The sequence below is a fragment of the Homo sapiens genome, chromosome 7 (assembly GCF_000001405.40).
Source record: "Homo sapiens chromosome 7, GRCh38.p14 Primary Assembly".
In the NCBI taxonomy this organism is placed as follows: Eukaryota; Metazoa; Chordata; class Mammalia; order Primates; family Hominidae; genus Homo; species Homo sapiens.
The window spans coordinates 131,496,718-131,518,494 of record NC_000007.14 but is presented as its reverse complement, the minus strand read 5'-3'; the positions used below and the strand labels follow the sequence as shown (position 1 = coordinate 131,518,494).

Here is a 21,777-nt window from a genome sequence, read left to right as displayed (position 1 = left end):
AAAAGCCAGTATCCAATACTAATGTTGCCAGTGGTGCAAACTGATGCTCGATGATGGTAGAAGTGATGACCTCACCAGACCCGTTCAGGAGAAGAGGTCTTGAGCACTGTTTCTGACTTACGCTTGATTCTTTAGCCACCTCAAGTATTTTATTAGCCAACGCATTATCTTTTTAATACATTACTTTCTCTTTAAAGCAGACAGAGTTAATTTCGAATGTTTGAAAGACTCCTGGTATTTTCACGAGGATATAGGAGAGCAGATCAGGAGAGCGAATGGCATTCCCCCCGCAAAAAGACATGTTCAGGTCCTAATCTCTGGTACCTGGTACCTGTGCAGGTGACCCTACTTAGAAATAGGGTCTTTGCAGATGTAATCAAGTTAAGATGAAGTCATACTGGATTAGGGAGGGCTCTAAATCCAATGACTGGTATCCTTATAAGAGGAGAGATATACGGCCGGCCCCGATGGCTCACACCTGTAATCCCAGCACTTCAGGAGGCTGAGCAGGGTGGATCGCCTGAGGTCAGGAGTTCGAGACCAGCCTGGCCAACATGGTGAAACCACATCTCCGTTAAAAATACAAAAATTAGCCTGGTGTAGTGGTGTGTACCTGTGGTCCCAGGTACTTGGGAGGCTGAGGCAGGAGAATTGCTTGAACCCACAAAGCGGAGGTTGCAGTGAGTGGAGATTGCGCCATTGTACTCCAGCCTGGGTGACAGAGACTCTGTGTCAAAAAAAAAAAAGAGTTACGCAAGGAGGAAGGTCTTGTGTTGATGGAGCCAGAGATCACAGTGACACAGCTACAAGCCAAGGAGTAGCCAGGATTGCTGGTAAGAGGCAGGAAAAGAGTCTTCCCTGGTGTCTTCGGAGGGAGCATGGCCCTGCCAATTTTGGACGTCTAGCCTCCAGAACCACGAGAGAATATATTTATGTTGTTTGTAGCCACCTAGTTTGTAGTCATTTGTTAACGCAGCCATGGAAAAGAAATGCACGATTCATTCAAGGAACGCTGAGTCTGTGAAAACATCGAGTTCTGGGACCTGGTTGACTGGCTGCGTTCTCTATCGTTGTGAGTCAACACAGTTCCCAGTTTGCGGGCCCTACACCTAGGAAGTCAGTGAGTTGCCCGTCCATTCTGATCCTAAAGAGCACACAAGCTGTTAGCTGCTGCTCGAAATAGCCTTGGTTAGACCATTGCGATCACTACGCTGGTCTTGCTGCCCACTGTGGAAACACACACACCTTTTTTCCTGGAAACGAAATTCTGTTATTTTCTCTACACTAAGGAACCTGGTGTCCGTCCCCACTGAAATCAGCAGCATTTCCTATTAACATACCTGACCAGTGAAGGTCAGCCACAAGAGTTCTCAGAACATATGAATAGTCCTCTTAACAATATCCCAAATGTAATCAAATCCAAGCCACTATCAATTATAGGATGCACTATTATTTTATGAACCACTAAGAAAAAAAGCCAAGCATGGTGGCTTGCACCTGTAATCCCAGCAATTTGGGAGGCTGAGGTAGAAGGATCACTTGAGCACAGGAGTTCGAGACCAGCCTGGGCAACATAGGGAGATCCTGTTTCTACAAAATTTCTCAGGTGTCGTAGTGCACACCTGTGCTCCCAGCTACTTGGGAAGCTGAGGCAGAAGGATCACTTGAGCCCAGGAAGTTGATGCTGCAGTGTATCATGCCACTGCACTACAACCTAGGTGATGGAGCAAGACCCTGTCTCAAAAAAAAAAAAAAAAAGAGAAAAAAAAGCACCACAGTCAAAGCGTGACCCACAATTATTTATAATACATTCTCATTTCAGAGACATGGAAAGATGTGAATCTCAGAAGTCATGAATTATGTTGCTTAAAGCCTTGTAAAGGGAGTGTCATTTGAGTTCTCATGACACACCAGAGCATGAGTGAGCAGGACATACATGATAAACACTCTGTTTCTCCAAGACTTTTTTTTTTCTTCTGAGACACAGTATCTCTCTGTCTCCCAGGTTGGAGTGCAGTGGTGCTATCTCCTGGGTTCAAGCAATTCTCCTGCCTCAGCCTCCTGAGTAGCCAGGATTACAGGCATGCGCCAACACGCCCGGCTAATTTTTGTATTTTTAGTAGAGACGGGGTTTCACCATGTTGGCCAGGCTGGTCTCAAACTCCCGACCTTGTGATCCGCCTGCCTCAGCCTCCCAAATTGCTGGGATTACAGGCGTGAGCCACCGTGCCCAGCCAAGACTTTCATTTCTTCCTATACATTGTTCCAGGGAATTTCTGACAACTCAGCTTTATTTAATGTAGGTTTCCATTGAGTCCAGGTTTCAGTCATCCAACTAAGAAAGCAATGAGAACTACCTGTAGCTGCTTGAGTCAGCATATTGGATCCAAAACCTATGCTATGCATACCCATACTGGGTAATTCAGCCTGATGTAAAATTATCATCATCCTCCTTTTGATACAGCACCCTTATGTTAAATATCCATAAATATTTGCAAGTTTTTTTGTAGATATTTTTAGTGTGTGAGCCTTCTCCTAGGTCAGAGTCTGTGTTTTTCCTCCTGGGACATATTGGAATCTGACTGTTGTTATAGGTATGAAGAAAATAAAGAGCAGTGGGGATCATGATGAGATTTGGCTTTCGGTGCCAATGAGCTGAAGTGAGGTTATTGAGGATCTTACAGGAGAGCAGTGGTAGAGCTTCCTGGCAAGTGAATTCCATTGAAGATGGAGATTTATGGGTAGTCTGATTCATCTACACCCTCTCATGTCACCATTTAATTCTCTAAGTTGGCCAGGCGCGGTGGCTCACGTCTGTAATCCCTGCACTTTGGGAGGCCAAGGTGGGCGGAATATCTGAGGTCAGTAGTTCGAGACCAGCCTGGCTAACATGGTGAAACCCCATTTCTACTAAAAATACAAAAAATTAGTTGGGCATGGTGGCGTGCACTTGTAATCTCAGCTACTTGGGAGGCTGAGGCAGGAGAATTGCTTGAACCTGGGAGGCTGAGGTTGCAGTGAGCCGAGATCGCACCATTGCACTCCAGCTTGGGCGACAGGAGCGAAACTCTGTCTCAAAAAAAAAATTCTCTAGGTCCTATTTTCACATAAGAGACCTGGTGAGCTTATGAATTAAGTTAACACCCTAATTCGGCAACTCACGGAATTAAGCTTTTAAAGTCTTTTAAAGGGCCCTCTCAGCCCTTCAGCTGCAAACAAAGAGACTCCTTGAATGTGTTCTTGGAAAGTCTCTGGTTTTCAGTCTGTGCTTTTATAGGAGGTTTAGGAATTTGAATTTGTTGTTCTCTTTCTTGAAACCAGTAGTTTTTACTGGCAGTGATTTTGTCGCCGTCAGGAGACATTTGGCAATATCTGGAGACATTTTTCATGGTTACAACTGGAAAGGGGCGTGCATGTGTATTACTTGCATCTAATAGACAGAGGCCAGGAATGCTGCTCAGCATTCTGCGTATAATGCATAGGACAACTGCCTATAACAAGAAATATCCAGTTCAAAATGCCAATAGTTTCAGAGTTGACAAATCCTGTTTTAAGCTGTTCACCACTGTAAGAAGCAACCATCCAGGGCTGGGTGCCATGGCTCACACCTGTAATCCCAGCACTTTGGGAGGCCGAGGCTGGAGGATCACTTGAGCCTAGAAGTTTGAGACTAGCCTGGCCATTATAGTGAGATCTCATCTCTACAAATTAGAAAAAAAAATTAGCTGGGTGTGGTGGTGCGTGCTTGTGGTCTCAGCTACTCGGAGGCTGAGGTGGGAGGACTGATTGAGCCTAGGAGGTCAAGGCTGTAGTGAGTCCTGATTGTGCCACTGTACTCCAGCTTGGGCAACAGAGCAAGATCCTGTCTCACAAACAAAACAAAACAAAAAACAATCATCCCACCAATTTCTTAATTCCCTAAATATGCTGATATAGTCCCTTAGCAATCTAGTATCTTGCCAGATGACACTATGATGCCATCAATAGTAAGAAGCACTGTTACTTTATGAACTACTAAGAAGAAAAAATGCCTGTCAAACCCTCACATTGCACTGTTCCCCCCGCCACCCCACTTTTTTTTGGAGACTGTGTCTCACTCTGTCACCCAGGCCGGAGTGCAGTGGCACAATCTTGGCTCACTACACCTCCGCCTCCCAGGTTCAAGCTATTCTCCTGCCTCAGCCTCCTGAGTAGCTAGGATTACAGGTGCCCGCCACCACGCCTGGCTAATTTTTGTATTTTTAGTAGAGATGAAGTTTCACAATGTTGGCCAGGCTGGTCTCAGGTGACCTCAGGTGATCCACCTGCCTTGGCCTCCCAAAGTGCTGGGATTACAGGCATGAGCCACCGCACCCAGCCTGTATTGCTTTTTAAAACACATTTGGTGAGTGTGCCTTTCATACTCTGGCAGCAGCCACTGGGCCACACCAAAGCCACTTCCTGGGCACTTCACTCTAGATTAGAGGTGATAATGTGACTGCTTATCCTTGAGATATCATGGGACACTTGCAAGTATTCCTTAATACTTGCAGAATTTTGACTGCCCTTTGTCCCCAGTAAGGCCTGACAACCAATCCTTGAAGTCTTGCTGCTGGCGGCTACTCCTGATAAACATTTCTGCTTTTCAGTAGCAAAATGTGTGTGTAAAAGATATGGGGATACTGTCCAGTGTATGGAGTAGCTGGGATTGCTGGAGGCCACATGCAGGGCTACTTTGAACCTCACTCAAGCCAGGCTGTAGATTCAGGGAGGCCAGCGCTGCTTACCCATGCCAAGCACTAGGTGGCGCTGCGGCCCAGGATGAGTGCTTGGCCTCACCTCCATGCATGATGTCACCACTCCTGCCTGCAGAGCCCGTCACGGCTGGAATGAGACTGCACGTTCATGGTGGCACTGCCACCTGCTTATGCTCATCCCAGGGGAGGCTGGCAAGGCAAAGAGCTGGCATTTTCATAGGAGCATCAACATAGGAGGCAGATTCTGCTGCCATCAAGTCTCACGGGGTGCGGAACTCCCAAATATAGAGAAATGGTATGGGTGCTGGCTGGCACAGAGTACGGGATGCAGCCATCAGCCCCCTTCCCACCACTCCCTTCTGCTCCAGACAGAAAACTAGGAATCACCTTAGATTCTCTTCTTCCCTCACTTAGGACATCAACAAGCAGTTGATCTCCAAAACAGTCTTGACTCTCTCCACCTTTTGTCTCCAGTGTCAATAGCTTCCTGTGGCCAACGCTGTTCATTCCATCTGGATTACTGTGATTGCCTCCTAACTTCTCTTTCCTCTTCCACACACTCTTCTTTCCAGTCTGCATTCCCCAAAGCAGCAGGAACAGGTTTCTCTGTAAGTCATCCTATAAAACTTCTGTGCTTTAATGCCTTCAGTGGCTTCTTTTTTGCACCAAGAATAAAATCTGGAATCTGCATGTTGGCCTCTGAGGAGTATGATCTTATGTCTCCTTCTTCTGCGTAGGATGTGATTTTTTTTTTTTTTTTTTTTGAGACGGAGTCTTGCTCAGTCGCCCAGGCTGAAGTGCAGTGGTGCCATCTTGGCTCACTGCAACCTCTGCCTCCCGGGTTCAAGCCGTTCTCCTGCCTCAGCCTCCCAAGTAGCTGGGATCACCACGCCCAGTTACTTTACTACCATCACCACGCCCAGCTTATTTATTTTTTATTTTTAGTAGAGATGGGGTTTCTCTATATTGGCCAGACTGGTCTGTAACTCCTGACCTCAAGTGATCTGCCTGCCTCAGCCTCCCAAAGTGCTGGGATTAAAGGCATGAGCCACCACACCCGGCTGAATGTGATTTTTAAGAGGGCCTTTTATTCTCAAAAATGTCTGGTTTGGACGCTCAGTTGCTATCACTGTCATAAGACCCTGCATTTTCTCAGCCCTGAACCTGACCCCTCCTTACCAAACTCCATTCCTGCTTGTCTTCTGTCAGCAGCTTTCCCTACTCGGGGGCTTTGCAGATTCTGTTCCTTCTGCTGGGGACACTTCTCCTCCCATTCTTCACACAGCATTCTCCTTGCTATCCTTCAGGGCTTAGCTTAACCATCATCGCAGAGATGCCTTTCTTTCCCTCATTCGACATGGTCCCTCCCCGCTCGTCTCTGCATCATTTCCTTCCTCACTTCCTCCGTGTAGTAAGCAGATTTGACGGCTGCTCTGTCCAGGTGGTTAGTCTCTGCCTCCCCACCAGAGTGTTAGCTTCTTGAGGGTACGACTCTCTGTGTCGTGTTCACCATTGTGTCTCCATTGCCTGACACAGATCCTATTTCCTCAAGAAATGACAGGTGAAGCCACCATGCTGCATGCAGTCCGGGCACTCGGCCTTTCTTTCTTGGCACAGCTCACCTAGTACTGAAATAGTAATTTGTGTAATTTCAGTTTATCATCAGTTTCTCCTAGATATAACTTCCATGAGAACAGGGCCCATGTCTTTTTTGCTTAAGCTCAGAACAGGGCCAGGGCAGTTCAGGAAGCATTAGTCTGTGGAATTTTCTGTGGGCCACGTGCCTGGGAGCTGGGGAGGAGGAGACAGAGGTGTTCCTGGCAGCTGGTTCTGGGGTAGCATATTGAGAAACTTAAAGGGGATGTGTGTGGGGCTGGACGGGGAGGGCAGGGCATGCATGACAGCCTCCACGTGTGGTGGGCCTCATTGGCCTGGGCTCGCCTTCAGCAGAATTTTGCTTTTCTGACCCTGCTGCACTCCAAGCTGCCCTCTTAGAGGTTTCATGCCAGGCGTGGTGGCTCACGCCTGTAATCCCAGCTCTGAGGGAGGCAGAGGCGGGAGGATAGCTTGAGCCCAGGAGTTCAAGACCTGCCTGGGCAATATAGCAAGACCCCATTCTCCACAAAAAGGAAGAAGAAAAAAAAAAGACAGAAAAAAGAGGTTTCTTGAACCTCCGAAAATTCTGGATTCACCAAAGACCCAGGCCTTTAGCAAGGCAGACAGCAGGGCTGCGAGCAAGGCCTCTGAATCCTGGGGAAGAGCTGGAGAAGCGTGGTGAGGAAGCCTCCCAGCCCTAACTCCATTCTCTGTTATCTTTACAAACAGCAACCCAGACTACTACGGACTCATCTAACAAAACAGCACCGACTCCAGCATCCAGTGTCACCATCATGGCTACAGATACAGCCCAGCAGAGCACAGTCCCCACTTCCAAGGCCAACGAAATCTTGGCCTCGGTCAAGGCGACCACCCTTGGTGTATCCAGTGACTCACCGGGGACTACAACCCTGGCTCAGCAAGTCTCAGGCCCAGTCAACACTACCGTGGCTAGAGGAGGCGGCTCAGGCAACCCTACTACCACCATCGAGAGCCCCAAGAGCACAAAAAGTGCAGACACCACTACAGTTGCAACCTCCACAGCCACAGCTAAACCTAACACCACAAGCAGCCAGAATGGAGCAGAAGATACAACAAACTCTGGGGGGAAAAGCAGCCACAGTGTGACCACAGACCTCACATCCACTAAGGCAGAACATCTGACGACCCCTCACCCTACAAGTCCACTTAGCCCCCGACAACCCACTTCGACGCATCCTGTGGCCACCCCAACAAGCTCGGGACATGACCATCTTATGAAAATTTCAAGCAGTTCAAGCACTGTGGCTATCCCTGGCTACACCTTCACAAGCCCGGGGATGACCACCACCCTACGTAAGTAATGCCTGGTTTTCTTCAAGCACCAAGAAACTTTTCAGGGCCAGGCGTGATGGCTCTGAAAAGGCTCATGCCTTGTAATCCCAGCACTTTGGGAGGCCGAGACAGGTGGATCACCTGAGGTCAGGAGTTCGAGACCAGCCTGGCCAACATGGCGAAACCCTGTCTCTACTAAAAATACAAACATTAGCTGGGTATGGTGGCAGGCGCCTGTAATCCCAGCTACTCAGGAGGCTGAGGCAGGAGAATTGCTTGAACCTGAGAGGGGAATAGTTTCTATTTCATACCTATTTATTTATTTATTTATTTATTTTTGAGATGGAGTCTCGCTCTGTCACCCAGGCTGGAGTGCGGTGGCATGATCTCTGCTCACTGCAACCTCCACCTCCGGGTTCAAGCAATTCTCCTGCCTCAGCCTCCCGAGTAGCTGGGACTACAGGTGTGCACCAGCACACCAGCTAATTTTTTTTTTTTTTTTTTTTTTTTTTTCAAGTAGAGACAGTGTTTCACCATGTCAGCCAGGCTGGTCTTGAACTCCTGACCTCGGGTGATCTGCCCACCTTGGCCTCCCAAAGTGCTGGGATTACAGGTATGAGCCACCATGCCCGGCCGATACCTGTTTACTTACTTACTTACTTATTATTTATAAGAGCTTGTCTTAACCTAGTAAATCAATTTCAAAATCTACCTATGGATCAAGAGCCTTAGGATCATGGCCCATCTCAGACCTGTGGACCCAGAGTTTCTGAGCGCTCCTGGTGATGTTGCTGCATATCAGAGGCATATGGTCTGAAGTCAGCAGGCCACCGCTCCACAGGAGGGTGCCACACAGTAGGAGTGCGGGCTCCGGCTGAGATAATCCTGGCTTCGAATCCCTGCCCTGCCATTGTTGGCACAGGAACTCGGGCAAATCACTGAGCCCCTCGGAGCCTCAGTTTCCTTGTTTATGAAATAGGGATGATGCCGATTCCTTCCCCAGAGGATTGTGAGGATTCAGTAGGAAAGTACCTTTGAGGCACCCAGTCCCTTGCACAAAGTTAAGTGCTCAGTGAACGTTTGCTGCGGCTGCTGTGACTTTGCCGGGTTATTCCACTGGCTTGTCATAGGAGTCCACTTCTTCCGTCTCTGTGGGAGGTAAGACCAAAGAACCTGGGAAAACTATTAGAGCAAGAAAAGATTGTCCTCTTCTCGCAAGGGTGCACTCATCTTTTCTCATTACCCTCGTTTTCCCAATGACAGCGTCATCGGTTATCTCGCAAAGAACTCAACAGACCTCCAGTCAGATGCCAGCCAGCTCTACGGCCCCTTCCTCCCAGGAGACAGTGCAGCCCACGAGCCCGGCAACGGCATTGAGAACACCTACCCTGCCAGAGACCATGAGCTCCAGCCCCACAGCAGCATCAACTACCCACCGATACCCCAAAACACCTTCTCCCACTGTGGCTCATGAGAGTAACTGGGTAACTCCAGCAGGGGTGGGGCAAGTAGGAGAACCCAGACTCGGGTAGAAGAGGCTTTAAGACAAGGTTTTCTGTTCTTTCCTCCAACGCAGGGCCCCTGGCTGGGGCTTTGAGCAGCACTTACCCATTCCCTCCTCCCTCTCCCTGGTTAGCCTGGTCCTGGCTTGAGCTGCCCTCAAGCCACGCAGCCAGGACATACCTGGCTCTGGAATGGGTCCAGCCATGCCTCCAGCTTGCCGTGAACTCTTTCCTATCTGGGTCACCCCTTAGTTGGGGGGAAATGTCAAAGATTCCATGACTATTAGCCCAAACCTTAATCTCAGTGGCTTCTTCCAGGCAAAGTGTGAGGATCTTGAGACACAGACACAGAGTGAGAAGCAGCTCGTCCTGAACCTCACAGGAAACACCCTCTGTGTGAGTAGCTTGCTGATCTGAGCCGCCAGGTGCAGGCTCACAGCAGGGCTGAGGGAGGGAGAGGGAATGTATGTTCTTTCTAGGTGCATTTTTAAACATCTTTCTAAGGTGCATTTGCTTTCCGGCCCTCATTTCTTCCTAGTAGGAAGTGGTCCTTTCCCATCTTACAGAGCAACAGACCAAGGTTTAAGACTTCTCTAAGTCAGGACACACCCACAGGACTGGACCCCCCCCTCCCACCCCCCGGTTTCCTCGGCTTTCACTGTGTGACTATTTCCAGTATGCTGAGTTGAGGGACCCTGATCCTAGTTCCTGTTTGCCCCTAGCTCTGGGAGTGACTTTGGTGAGTTGATCTCTTTGGGTTTCAGATGTCTCAATTGAAAATGAGAGGTGAGGCCAGGTGTGGTGGCTTACACCTGTAATCCCAACACTTTGAGAAGCTGAGGCAGGAAGTTTGCTTGAGGCCAGAAGTTCAAGACCAGCCTGGGAAACATAGGAAGACCCTGTTTTTACAGAAAGAAAAGAAAAGCAAGAGAAAATGAGAGGTGTAGTCTGTCTGCTTTAATCGTCTGTGGCTTCACATTTCCTGGTCTGTGGACTATCTGAGAGCCTTGATGGACGAACAGTGCTGGGAGATTCTCCCTCTAACCTGAGGAGCTGATGGGATGGGTGGGAGAGAAAAGGGCCCAGGAATGCAGGAGCCACTGCCAGCATTTCTCCAGTCTGGGTGGTGAGCGTGCGTGTGAGCACACCTGTGTGAGGGAGGTAGCAGTGTGTGAGCAGCCTTCAGGCCACCGGTCTCCATGGGTCCAAAGGCTTTGGTCTGGGGAGTGTGCGCTGTGCACACTCAGTAAATAACTGCCGAGCGCGGCGGGTGCTGGAGATGGCTGGCTCACTGCTGCCCTCTCCCGGTCAGTGCCGGTTTTTTGCAGCCACCCCCTAGGAACTAGAACTAGAACAGACCTGAACACGGTGTCTATAGATAGGATGGAGAATTTGGGCTTACAACACTTTAATGCTGCCTGAATTTTCTGCAGTTGTTTTCTTTTGGGTGTCCATTATGCCGGCATTTTCCAAGTGAACTTTACAAAAGCCTACATCTAGACCAGAGTTTTAAAAGGGAGCAGTGCTCTCCTAGGGCTGGGCTTATTGGACAAGGCAGGCATTGCATGATATGGGCTCTGGGGACAGTCAGGTGCCCGCCCAGCCCTTCCTCAGACCCTCTTTTTGGATGTAGCTTGGTAGGCTGTGTGATTGTTGTGAGACACTTTTTTTTTTTTTCCCTTTGCTAGAAAAGGAAGATGGAAAACCCTGGATCCCTTCCTGATGTCAGGGTGGGGAATTACTAAGCCTAAGGAAATTCTGGTAGAAACCTTAGGGGTGGTTTGTATGGGTTCTGTGCTAAGCTATCCCTAGAGTCCTTTTCTTTGTCTTAGTCATTTATTCCAGAATCAGGTCAGAGAAGCCCCAGGGAGGGGTGCCCCTAGATGGCATGGCAGGACTGGATACATGCTGCCCACACTTCTCCCCTCATCCTCAGCTCTAAAGCCACGTCAGCCACAATCTTTGTTCTTAGAGCTAAATAAGACCCCCTCCAAGATATCCTAGGGGTAGCTTCAAGATCCCACCTGTTCCCCTACTCAGTGGAGCCCCTTCCCTGTCAGCCTGTCCGTGGCTTCAGAGCCAGAGGCTCTGCCTAGGGCAAGGGCACATGTATTTCAGCTTTGGGGGTAGAGACCCTTCTGCTGAGAGCTGCAGCCTCCCCACCTGATTTCTCCGAACTGGGCATGAAAGGCTGGTGAATGGGAGTTTAGGGGGAATTGGAGTCTCCCTGCGGGCTGTGGGGTAGGGTTGCTGTGCAGTGCCCCCTCTCTAGCCCGTTCTAGGGAGGGAGATGAAAACAACCCCCAATCCGCAAACAGCTTGGAGGGAAAAAAGAGGCACTAGGGTGAAAGGAATGAAAGGTGCAAGCGTAGACCAGATAAACACAGTGCGGAGAACGGGCTGATGGGAACGAGACAGAGGAGGCAGGAACTGGCCCAGGAGAACAGCATGCAACCCTTGATTCCTGGCAGGCCTGCGTGGAGCACCAGCTGGGGCTAGAGAGGGAGGCAGGTTCTAGCACAGCAACAGCACTGTCCCGACCTTAGCTGGGAGGGCAGCCCCACAGGCCTAGGCTGCTGTCACGCTCCCCGCGGAGTCACCTGCGCTCTCCCCACCATAGGCAGGGGGCGCTTCGGATGAGAAATTGATCTCACTGATATGCCGAGCAGTCAAAGCCACCTTCAACCCGGCCCAAGATAAGTGCGGCATACGGCTGGCATCTGTTCCAGGAAGTCAGACCGTGGTCGTCAAAGAAATCACTATTCACAGTGAGTGGAGGGCAAGGGGGCCTGGGCTGGGGCCTGCATGGGTGGGAATGGGGGGCATGCAGAAGCCACATTGGAGGGTGGGTCACAGTGGTGCCCCTTCAGTTCCCTAAGAACTGTCAAGCCACACCCCCTCCCAGGTCACCCGAGAGACACTCAGGAGACTGAGATACGGTGCGTCCCTCTCTTGGGGCGCAGTCCCCGTCCCCCACTGCCTCGCTCTGGGCTGGGCCATTGGGCATCGTCTCCCTCTCCCACAGCTAAGCTCCCTGCCAAGGATGTGTACGAGCGGCTGAAGGACAAATGGGATGAACTAAAGGAGGTAAGCGGCCCCCCAAGTGTGGGGACAGAGTGGCTCCGAAGCCCCTTGTGGGAGGTCTGGTTACTCCCCTCTCTCTGTGGGGAGGAACCCCGTCATGTGCCTGCATGTAGAAGAGGGCGGCGGCACGGACCCTAGCAGACTGCAAGCGGAGGGGCTCTACAGTGAAGCCGGGGGCTGAGGGAGAGAGGATGCCCCCAGCCTGTTCTCTGCCACTTCCCATGCAGGCAGGGGTCAGTGACATGAAGCTAGGGGACCAGGGGCCACCGGAGGAGGCCGAGGACCGCTTCAGCATGCCCCTCATCATCACCATCGTCTGCATGGCATCATTCCTGCTCCTCGTGGCGGCCCTCTATGGCTGCTGCCACCAGCGCCTCTCCCAGAGGAAGGACCAGGTAAGCAGCTGTTTGCAGCCACACAGGGGAAGCAGCCCAGGTCACCAGAGGAACCCTCCCCTCGTGATTCCCGAGTTGCAGAAGAGGAAAGGGAGCAGGCCCTGGACCCTTTCTAACAGGCAGAGGCCACCCCTGATAGGCAGCCGCCTCAGTCCACAGAGCATTACAGAGGCAGCGTGGCAGAGGACAGAGCGTGGGCTTTGGAGTCGGGAAGACTTATTTATTTTTTATTTTATTATTATTATTTTTTTCAGACAGGGTCTTGCTCTGTCACCCAGGCTGGTGTCACCCACTGCAACCTCAAGTGATTCTTGTGCCTCAGCCTCCCCAGTAGCTGGGATTACAGGTGCCCACCACCACGCCCGCCTAATTTTTGTATTTTTACTAGAGATGGGGTTTCGCCATGTTGGCCAGGCTAGTCTCGAACTCCTGACCTCAAGCAATCCGCCTGCCTCAGCCTCCCAAAGTGCTGGGATTACAGGTGTGAGTCACCACGCCTGGACTGGAGTCAGGGAGACTTGGTTAGTCCTGGCCCTGACCTTGAGGAAGTCAGTCAGATGAGCTCTTTGGGCATCAGGTTCCTCATCTGCACAGCAGGGATAACCTCCTTGCAGAGCTGGTCTGAGGATTCATTGATAGAAGCAGGCCTAGGTGTTCTGTCTAACCAAAAATTCTTCTGCCTACCTTACTAGAATTCTCGCCATGATGGTGCCACCCAGACCCTGTGGTTCTCACTCCTGCCTGCACACCGTGGGGAACTTTAGAAAAATTCCCTTGCCTGACTGCCTCCCACACCAATTCAAACAATCTCTGAGTCCATCAGTGTAGTTGTTAAAAGCTCCCCAGGTGATTCTAGCATACACTCAAGGTTGTGTTTGAGAGGGACAGAAAGCGCCTCTGCCAGATGGCTGCTGTCTGCCGCAGGGATGATTCTAGAGACACCGTACCCATCCTGCCCAGGCTTGAGGGCTCAGTCACCCAGCCCGAGAGAGGTCATTTTTTAATAGTGTTTTTCCCATTCATTATGATAGGTGAGGTAGGTGCCTGGAGAGGAGGTTTTGGGGGAAGGGATGAAGGGGAGGAGAGAGCTTAGAGGACTCTGGAGAACAAAGTCCATCTCCACTAACTTCACAGGTTCTGCCACCAGGGTGAGGGTGAGGGGCAAGTCTTTGTTCCCAACTAGTTCCGGGCAGGCTGAGAGCCAGAATGACCACCAGGAGCAGCCAGCCCCACAGGCGAGCAATGAGGGCCTGCTTTAGCTACAGTGGGGCTCCTGAGTGGGAGGGGTACGTACATGCGCTGTATTAAGCTCAGAGCCCTCTGAAACCCCCTTCTCACCGGTCACCTTCCCCACTCTAGCAGCGGCTAACAGAGGAGCTGCAGACAGTGGAGAATGGTTACCATGACAACCCAACACTGGAAGTGATGGAGACCTCTTCTGAGATGCAGGAGAAGAAGGTGGTCAGCCTCAACGGGGAGCTGGGGGACAGCTGGATCGTCCCTCTGGACAACCTGACCAAGGACGACCTGGATGAGGAGGAAGACACACACCTCTAGTCCGGTCTGCCGGTGGCCTCCAGCAGCACCACAGAGCTCCAGACCAACCACCCCAAGTGCCGTTTGGATGGGGAAGGGAAAGACTGGGGAGGGAGAGTGAACTCCGAGGGGTGTCCCCTCCCAATCCCCCCAGGGCCTTAATTTTTCCCTTTTCAACCTGAACAAATCACATTCTGTCCAGATTCCTCTTGTAAAATAACCCACTAGTGCCTGAGCTCAGTGCTGCTGGATGATGAGGGAGATCAAGAAAAAGCCACGTAAGGGACTTTATAGATGAACTAGTGGAATCCCTTCATTCTGCAGTGAGATTGCCGAGACCTGAAGAGGGTAAGTGACTTGCCCAAGGTCAGAGCCACTTGGTGACAGAGCCAGGATGAGAACAAAGATTCCATTTGCACCATGCCACACTGCTGTGTTCACATGTGCCTTCCGTCCAGAGCAGTCCCGGGCAGGGGTGAAACTCCAGCAGGTGGCTGGGCTGGAAAGGAGGGCAGGGCTACATCCTGGCTCGGTGGGATCTGACGACCTGAAAGTCCAGCTCCCAAGTTTTCCTTCTCCTACCCCAGCCTCGTGTACCCATCTTCCCACCCTCTATGTTCTTACCCCTCCCTACACTCAGTGTTTGTTCCCACTTACTCTGTCCTGGGGCCTCTGGGATTAGCACAGGTTATTCATAACCTTGAACCCCTTGTTCTGGATTCGGATTTTCTCACATTTGCTTCGTGAGATGGGGGCTTAACCCACACAGGTCTCCGTGCGTGAACCAGGTCTGCTTAGGGGACCTGCGTGCAGGTGAGGAGAGAAGGGGACACTCGAGTCCAGGCTGGTATCTCAGGGCAGCTGATGAGGGGTCAGCAGGAACACTGGCCCATTGCCCCTGGCACTCCTTGCAGAGGCCACCCACGATCTTCTTTGGGCTTCCATTTCCACCAGGGACTAAAATCTGCTGTAGCTAGTGAGAGCAGCGTGTTCCTTTTGTTGTTCACTGCTCAGCTGATGGGAGTGATTCCCTGAGACCCAGTATGAAAGAGCAGTGGCTGCAGGAGAGGCCTTCCCGGGGCCCCCCATCAGCGATGTGTCTTCAGAGACAATCCATTAAAGCAGCCAGGAAGGACAGGCTTTCCCCTGTATATCATAGGAAACTCAGGGACATTTCAAGTTGCTGAGAGTTTTGTTATAGTTGTTTTCTAACCCAGCCCTCCACTGCCAAAGGCCAAAAGCTCAGACAGTTGGCAGACGTCCAGTTAGCTCATCTCACTCACTCTGATTCTCCTGTGCCACAGGAAAAGAGGGCCTGGAAAGCGCAGTGCATGCTGGGTGCATGAAGGGCAGCCTGGGGGACAGACTGTTGTGGGAACGTCCCACTGTCCTGGCCTGGAGCTAGGCCTTGCTGTTCCTCTTCTCTGTGAGCCTAGTGGGGCTGCTGCGGTTCTCTTGCAGTTTCTGGTGGCATCTCAGGGGAACACAAAGCTATGTCTATTCCCCAATATAGGACTTTTATGGGCTCGGCAGTTAGCTGCCATGTAGAAGGCTCCTAAGCAGTGGGCATGGTGAGGTTTCATCTGATTGAGAAGGGGGAATCCTGTGTGGAATGTTGAACTTTCGCCATGGTCTCCATCGTTCTGGGCGTAAATTCCCTGGGATCAAGTAGGAAAATGGGCAGAACTGCTTAGGGGAATGAAATTGCCATTTTTCGGGTGAAACGCCACACCTCCAGGGTCTTAAGAGTCAGGCTCCGGCTGTAGTAGCTCTGATGAAATAGGCTATCCACTCGGGATGGCTTACTTTTTAAAAGGGTAGGGGGAGGGGCTGGGGAAGATCTGTCCTGCACCATCTGCCTAATTCCTTCCTCACAGTCTGTAGCCATCTGATATCCTAGGGGAAAAGGAAGGCCAGGGGTTCACATAGGGCCCCAGCGAGTTTCCCAGGAGTTAGAGGGATGCGAGGCTAACAAGTTCCAAAAACATCTGCCCCGATGCTCTAGTGTTTGGAGGTGGGCAGGATGGAGAACAGTGCCTGTTTGGGGGAAAACAGGAAATCTTGTTAGGCTTGAGTGAGGTGTTTGCTTCCTTCTTGCCCAGCGCTGGGTTCTCTCCACCCAGTAGGTTTTCTGTTGTGGTCCCGTGGGAGAGGCCAGACTGGATTATTCCTCCTTTGCTGATCCTGGGTCACACTTCACCAGCCAGGGCTTTTGACGGAGACAGCAAATAGGCCTCTGCAAATCAATCAAAGGCTGCAACCCTATGGCCTCTTGGAGACAGATGATGACTGGCAAGGACTAGAGAGCAGGAGTGCCTGGCCAGGTCGGTCCTGACTCTCCTGACTCTCCATCGCTCTGTCCAAGGAGAACCCGGAGAGGCTCTGGGCTGATTCAGAGGTTACTGCTTTATATTCGTCCAAACTGTGTTAGTCTAGGCTTAGGACAGCTTCAGAATCTGACACCTTGCCTTGCTCTTGCCACCAGGACACCTATGTCAACAGGCCAAACAGCCATGCATCTATAAAGGTCATCATCTTCTGCCACCTTTACTGGGTTCTAAATGCTCTCTGATAATTCAGAGAGCATTGGGTCTGGGAAGAGGTAAGAGGAACACTAGAAGCTCAGCATGACTTAAACAGGTTGTAGCAAAGACAGTTTATCATCAGCTCTTTCAGTGGTAAACTGTGGTTTCCCCAAGCTGCACAGGAGGCCAGAAACCACAAGTATGATGACTAGGAAGCCTACTGTCATGAGAGTGGGGAGACAGGCAGCAAAGCTTATGAAGGAGGTACAGAATATTCTTTGCGTTGTAAGACAGAATACGGGTTTAATCTAGTCTAGGCACCAGATTTTTTTCCCGCTTGATAAGGAAAGCTAGCAGAAAGTTTATTTAAACCACTTCTTGAGCTTTATCTTTTTTGACAATATACTGGAGAAACTTTGAAGAACAAGTTCAAACTGATACATATACACATATTTTTTTGATAATGTAAATACAGTGACCATGTTAACCTACCCTGCACTGCTTTAAGTGAACATACTTTGAAAAAGCATTATGTTAGCTGAGTGATGGCCAAGTTTTTTCTCTGGACAGGAATGTAAATGTCTTACTGGAAATGACAAGTTTTTGCTTGATTTTTTTTTTTAAACAAAAAATGAAATATAACAAGACAAACTTATGATAAAGTATTTGTCTTGTAGATCAGGTGTTTTGTTTTGTTTTTTTAATTTTAAAATGCAACCCTGCCCCCTCCCCAGCAAAGTCACAGCTCCATTTCAGTAAAGGTTGGAGTCAATATGCTCTGGTTGGCAGGCAACCCTGTAGTCATGGAGAAAGGTATTTCAAGATCTAGTCCAATCTTTTTCTAGAGAAAAAGATAATCTGAAGCTCACAAAGATGAAGTGACTTCCTCAAAATCACATGGTTCAGGACAGAAACAAGATTAAAACCTGGATCCACAGACTGTGCGCCTCAGAAGGAATAATCGGTAAATTAAGAATTGCTACTCGAAGGTGCCAGAATGACACAAAGGACAGAATTCCTTTCCCAGTTGTTACCCTAGCAAGGCTAGGGAGGGCATGAACACAAACATAAGAACTGGTCTTCTACACTTTCTCTGAATCATTTAGGTTTAAGATGTAAGTGAACAATTCTTTCTTTCTGCCAAGAAACAAAGTTTTGGATGAGCTTTTATATATGGAACTTACTCCAACAGGACTGAGGGACCAAGGAAACATGATGGGGGAGGCAGAGAGGGCAAGAGTAAAACTGTAGCATAGCTTTTGTCACGGTCACTAGCTGATCCCTCAGGTCTGCTGCAAACACAGCATGGAGGACACAGATGACTCTTTGGTGTTGGTCTTTTTGTCTGCAGTGAATGTTCAACAGTTTGCCCAGGAACTGGGGGATCATATATGTCTTAGTGGACAGGGGTCTGAAGTACACTGGAATTTACTGAGAAACTTGTTTGTAAAAACTATAGTTAATAATTATTGCATTTTCTTACAAAAATATATTTTGGAAAATTGTATACTGTCAATTAAAGTGTTTTTGTGTAAACTGGTTCAAGCTCTAGTAGTTTCCTCGGACTTCTTAAAGCCTTCACTTGTGTATGAGGCTCATCGCCAAAGTGCCTGAGAATGTCGGCTCACACCCGTAGCACAGGAGCCTCCGTGCTGAGTTACACTTGTCCAACTCTGCAGGCAAAGAAATTAGGCAAGAGAAGGAGAGAAACCGGAAGAAAAAAAAAGGGGGATCCTAAAGGTGGTTATGAGTCTTTATGTTACTCAAGCTATCCTAGTGACTCTAAAGAACCTCACTTTCCCCTAAGATGACGTTGTATGTTTCGCTGTCTTCCTTCCCTCTACTTCTGCCTCAGATACATTGTGAATCACCACTATCAGAAATCCCCAAGAGGGCTGCTGAACATTGATCAGGTATGAAAACACTGGCAAAGAGACTATATATATACATATATATGTGTGTGTGTGTGTGTGTGTGTGTGTGTGTATGTATATATATATATATATATATATATATATATATATATGTAAAAACAAAGCTCTGTTCTGGCCCTGTTTCTGCCATAAAAGGATCTGTTTACTGCCACAAGAGGCTTCTGCCTATCCCTCCTCCAGGTCTGCAGTGAAGATAGATAGCGGTTTAAGGAAGGAATCACTGGAGATGATTCTTTCTTCATCTCCTAGTGTGGTATTATCCACAGCTGCATGCTTCTTCATCGGAAGGGGTAAACTTCATCATTCCAAACTTGCAGAAGGGAAACTGTCAGGTAGAACTGGTCCATAATCTTAGTTGCTAGACAACAATCTTGTCTACTTGCCTAGCATCTTACCATTTACAAACCATTTTATAGGAAACCTATAGGTTTACAAACCTATCTTATAGGAATTGTCCCCACTAGGGAAATTAGATGCAGGAGTTAAGTATTCTCTTTGAGATTGATCACACAACCATTTAAATGGCAGCATGGGCCTTGATTCTCTTTTTGCTCTTTAGTCCTACACTCTTTTCTCAGTATCACGTTAATGCCAGAGTTCCAACAACAGCAAAATACATTTCTAGAATGCAACTACTGTTACAACATGATTTTCCTTCCATGAAAGTTGTTGTGAAAAGCAGTTAAACCCTGAAGAGAGGTCTAGAGTTGGGCCCGGGTAATTTTGAGGTTAGCTTCGAGAGGGTGCCAAGGATACAGAAAGGAGTCCAAGTACAAGGAACTCACACAGGACCCTGGCCATGGTCGAGGTGCACTGTTCTAAGAGTGACCCACAGCTTATTGTGGGCCACAAGTTAGACCTAAGATCCCATTCTCTTTCTGAGTAGGTCATTCACCCTGATCCCTGCCTGCCAACCAAGACACACGCTCAGTTGTCAATTTAAATGTGTTATGCTCATTTGTCACTCAGAACCTTCCCTATAAGCTCCCTCCCAAATCACAGATTTCTTCTGTACCACAAGGGAAAAAAGTAAATAAAGAATAGAACTGGCTACATAATTAACACTAGTGATAAACACTGAGATATCTATTGCTTTCAAAGACCTTGGTGGGGAATGGTGGCTTATGCCTTTAATCCCAGCACTTTAGGAGGTCAAAGTGGGAGGATAGCTTGAGCTCAGGAATTCGAGGCCAGCCTGGGCAACACAGCCAGATCCCATCTTTACATTTTTTTTTTTTAAATTAGCCAGTTTTGCTGGCACATGCCTGTAGTCCTAGCTACTCAGGATGCTAAGGCAGGATCACTTGAGCCCAGGAGTTGGCGGCTGCAGTAAGCTATGATCACACCACTACACTCCAGCCTGCATGACACAGTGAGACCCTGTCCTAAAAAGAAAATCAATAGGATCCTAGCCAACAAGATCTGCTGCCAGTATTTACTTCACAGAAGAAATGAGGCAGAGAAGTTGTGCAATATTATGCAGAAGTCATTGGTCATCAGGAAATGAAAGCCAGGATTCCCAATTCCTCCTGGACTCTCCATTCTATGTCCCAAGTTTAGAGGGCAGCTGTACAATGCTGCTATGTACATCGCCAAGGGTCCTAACCACCTCTCGGGGTTTGCCAACCATTAAAACTTACGAACGTAGTGCTAGGCAGGCTACTTCTACGTAGTTTCTCCTTATTACAGTTTCTCCTATATTAAGAATCTCTCTGGCAAGGATATGATTGACGGCTGCTGCTTTTGCTGGGTGAAAGCCCACAGGAAAAAAGTCCCCGTAAGACAATAGTGAAGCTGTAGAGTAAGGATGGTGGCATCATCCTCTGCTGCCCCAACTGCCCTATGCCCCAGAAAGCCCAAGTCTCCAGTCCCCTCTTCCTTTTCTCTAAGAATGTAAAAGGCAAAGGAAGATGTAGCATACGTGGTGCTAAAGAAGGAATGTCATCAACCAGGATTTTGACTTACGCCAGAACTGTACAAGCCTCAGATGGTCTTTCCAGTCATATTAATACCTTCAGAATCTGAACAGTTAGTGATAAACCAATGTTGCCTTCATTTACAGGGAAAATAACCCCCCCCACGCCCCCCCCCTCCCCGTTTCTAGGGACTCTGCAGTCGTCATTTATATGAGAAGTTACAGGAGCATGGGCACACAGCCATTTCCCTATTAGATGCTCGGTCATCTTCCTTTGGCGGCAGAAGCTCCTAACGCAGCAACTTCCAAGCTCTGTAGTACAGTCTCCACATGTGCTTGACCTGGGAGCAGCTGGCTCTCATCTGTGTTTAGGGCCAAGCCTTCTTTACTTACTGCTGTCTTCCCACCAGAAGGTAGTGACAAATATATCAAGGGTAGTGTCCTGCATTTTGATCCTTTTGAGTTAATTCTCTGGAGGACTGACCAAGGAAAGGCCGATTCCTTACCTTATCACTGCACCTCATGCTTTCCTGTTTTGAGAACACAAAGAAACGTTACTTAAGGGCCACACTCAAAGGACACCCTAGAAATGAAAGCTCTGCAGTAAGGTTTGGATTATTCAATTTGTAAACTGAGAAAGCATGATCCCTGTTTGGAATAAAATCAGCTGACAATTCACTCCAGAATGCATGATCACAAAGCCACGATGTAAAGCAGACCAGGAGGTGGAAAGGGCAGAGAGGGGATCTCATTACTAAGAGTCCCACCACTCGGCCCCAGTGACCCAGGACTTTTATCTGGCATATTTCTCAGCTTAGTTTTTTCAAGATTTGGCCCATAAAGTGTCTTTCCCCTTTAATGGGGACAGGGATCCAGAATTTTCCCAAACTGCAACACTTCTAGGTTCTCTCCCTTTACTATCTTTTCTACAGTGAATTTTCCATTTCAGTTCAGTCTTTCCTTCTAGTTCCAGCCTGTACAAGCATATCCCCTTTAAAGAGGAACATAAGTCCAAGTGGACAAAGCAAATAAAATAAGGGTGGTCATTAACAGTAGATAGAAGAACATTTCATGAAATAATTTACCAGTGGTCTTTAAATAAGTGGAAGCCTCCCCGCAGAAACTTTGTGAGCATGGCCGGTACTTGTTCATCTGAGCACCGTCTCAAAGGAAAACACCCAAAGGCCCTTCGAAAGCGTATCACTTTCCTTTTGGAAGCCTAAATAAAACTCACCTTTCT

The 21,777-nt window shown here is 48.9% G+C and overlaps 1 protein-coding gene across 2 annotated transcripts in view, besides 4 other annotated features; it reads left to right on the top strand.

The window, feature by feature from the left end:
• Positions 1–18,224, top strand: part of PODXL (podocalyxin like) — a 56,358-nt gene extending 38,134 nt beyond the window's left edge. The window contains exons 2-9 of one of the 2 annotated variants that reach the window (NM_001018111.3): positions 7,062–7,667; positions 8,164–8,259; positions 8,910–9,130; positions 9,467–9,544; positions 11,769–11,916; positions 12,174–12,235; positions 12,460–12,627; positions 13,987–18,224. In NM_001018111.3, the coding sequence (NP_001018121.1) occupies positions 7,062–7,667; positions 8,164–8,259; positions 8,910–9,130; positions 9,467–9,544; positions 11,769–11,916; positions 12,174–12,235; positions 12,460–12,627; positions 13,987–14,184 (1,577 nt within the window). In that variant the 3' untranslated portion in view covers positions 14,185–18,224. The remainder of the gene's footprint in view (positions 1–7,061; positions 7,668–8,163; positions 8,260–8,909; positions 9,131–9,466; positions 9,545–11,768; positions 11,917–12,173; positions 12,236–12,459; positions 12,628–13,986) is intronic. The other variant, NM_005397.4, reaches the window with a different exon arrangement.
• Positions 360–859: an enhancer, noted in NCBI's record as "H3K27ac hESC enhancer chr7:131202395-131202894 (GRCh37/hg19 assembly coordinates)". NCBI's record gives its function as "activates a minimal SCP1, AML or CMV promoter by ChIP-STARR-seq in naive and primed H9 embryonic stem cells {active_cell/tissue: H9 hESC(naive and primed)}" and the evidence as "EXISTENCE:reporter gene assay evidence [ECO:0000049][PMID:30033119]".
• Positions 4,362–5,221: an enhancer, noted in NCBI's record as "NANOG-H3K27ac-H3K4me1 hESC enhancer chr7:131198033-131198892 (GRCh37/hg19 assembly coordinates)". NCBI's record gives its function as "activates a minimal SCP1, AML or CMV promoter by ChIP-STARR-seq in naive H9 embryonic stem cells {active_cell/tissue: H9 hESC(naive)}" and the evidence as "EXISTENCE:reporter gene assay evidence [ECO:0000049][PMID:30033119]".
• Positions 10,322–10,381: a silencer, noted in NCBI's record as "silent region_18662". NCBI's record gives its function as "represses an Ori minimal core promoter by ATAC-STARR-seq in GM12878 lymphoblastoid cells {active_cell/tissue: GM12878}" and the evidence as "EXISTENCE:reporter gene assay evidence [ECO:0000049][PMID:35858748]".
• Positions 11,922–12,836: an enhancer, noted in NCBI's record as "H3K27ac-H3K4me1 hESC enhancer chr7:131190418-131191332 (GRCh37/hg19 assembly coordinates)". NCBI's record gives its function as "activates a minimal SCP1, AML or CMV promoter by ChIP-STARR-seq in naive and primed H9 embryonic stem cells {active_cell/tissue: H9 hESC(naive and primed)}" and the evidence as "EXISTENCE:reporter gene assay evidence [ECO:0000049][PMID:30033119]".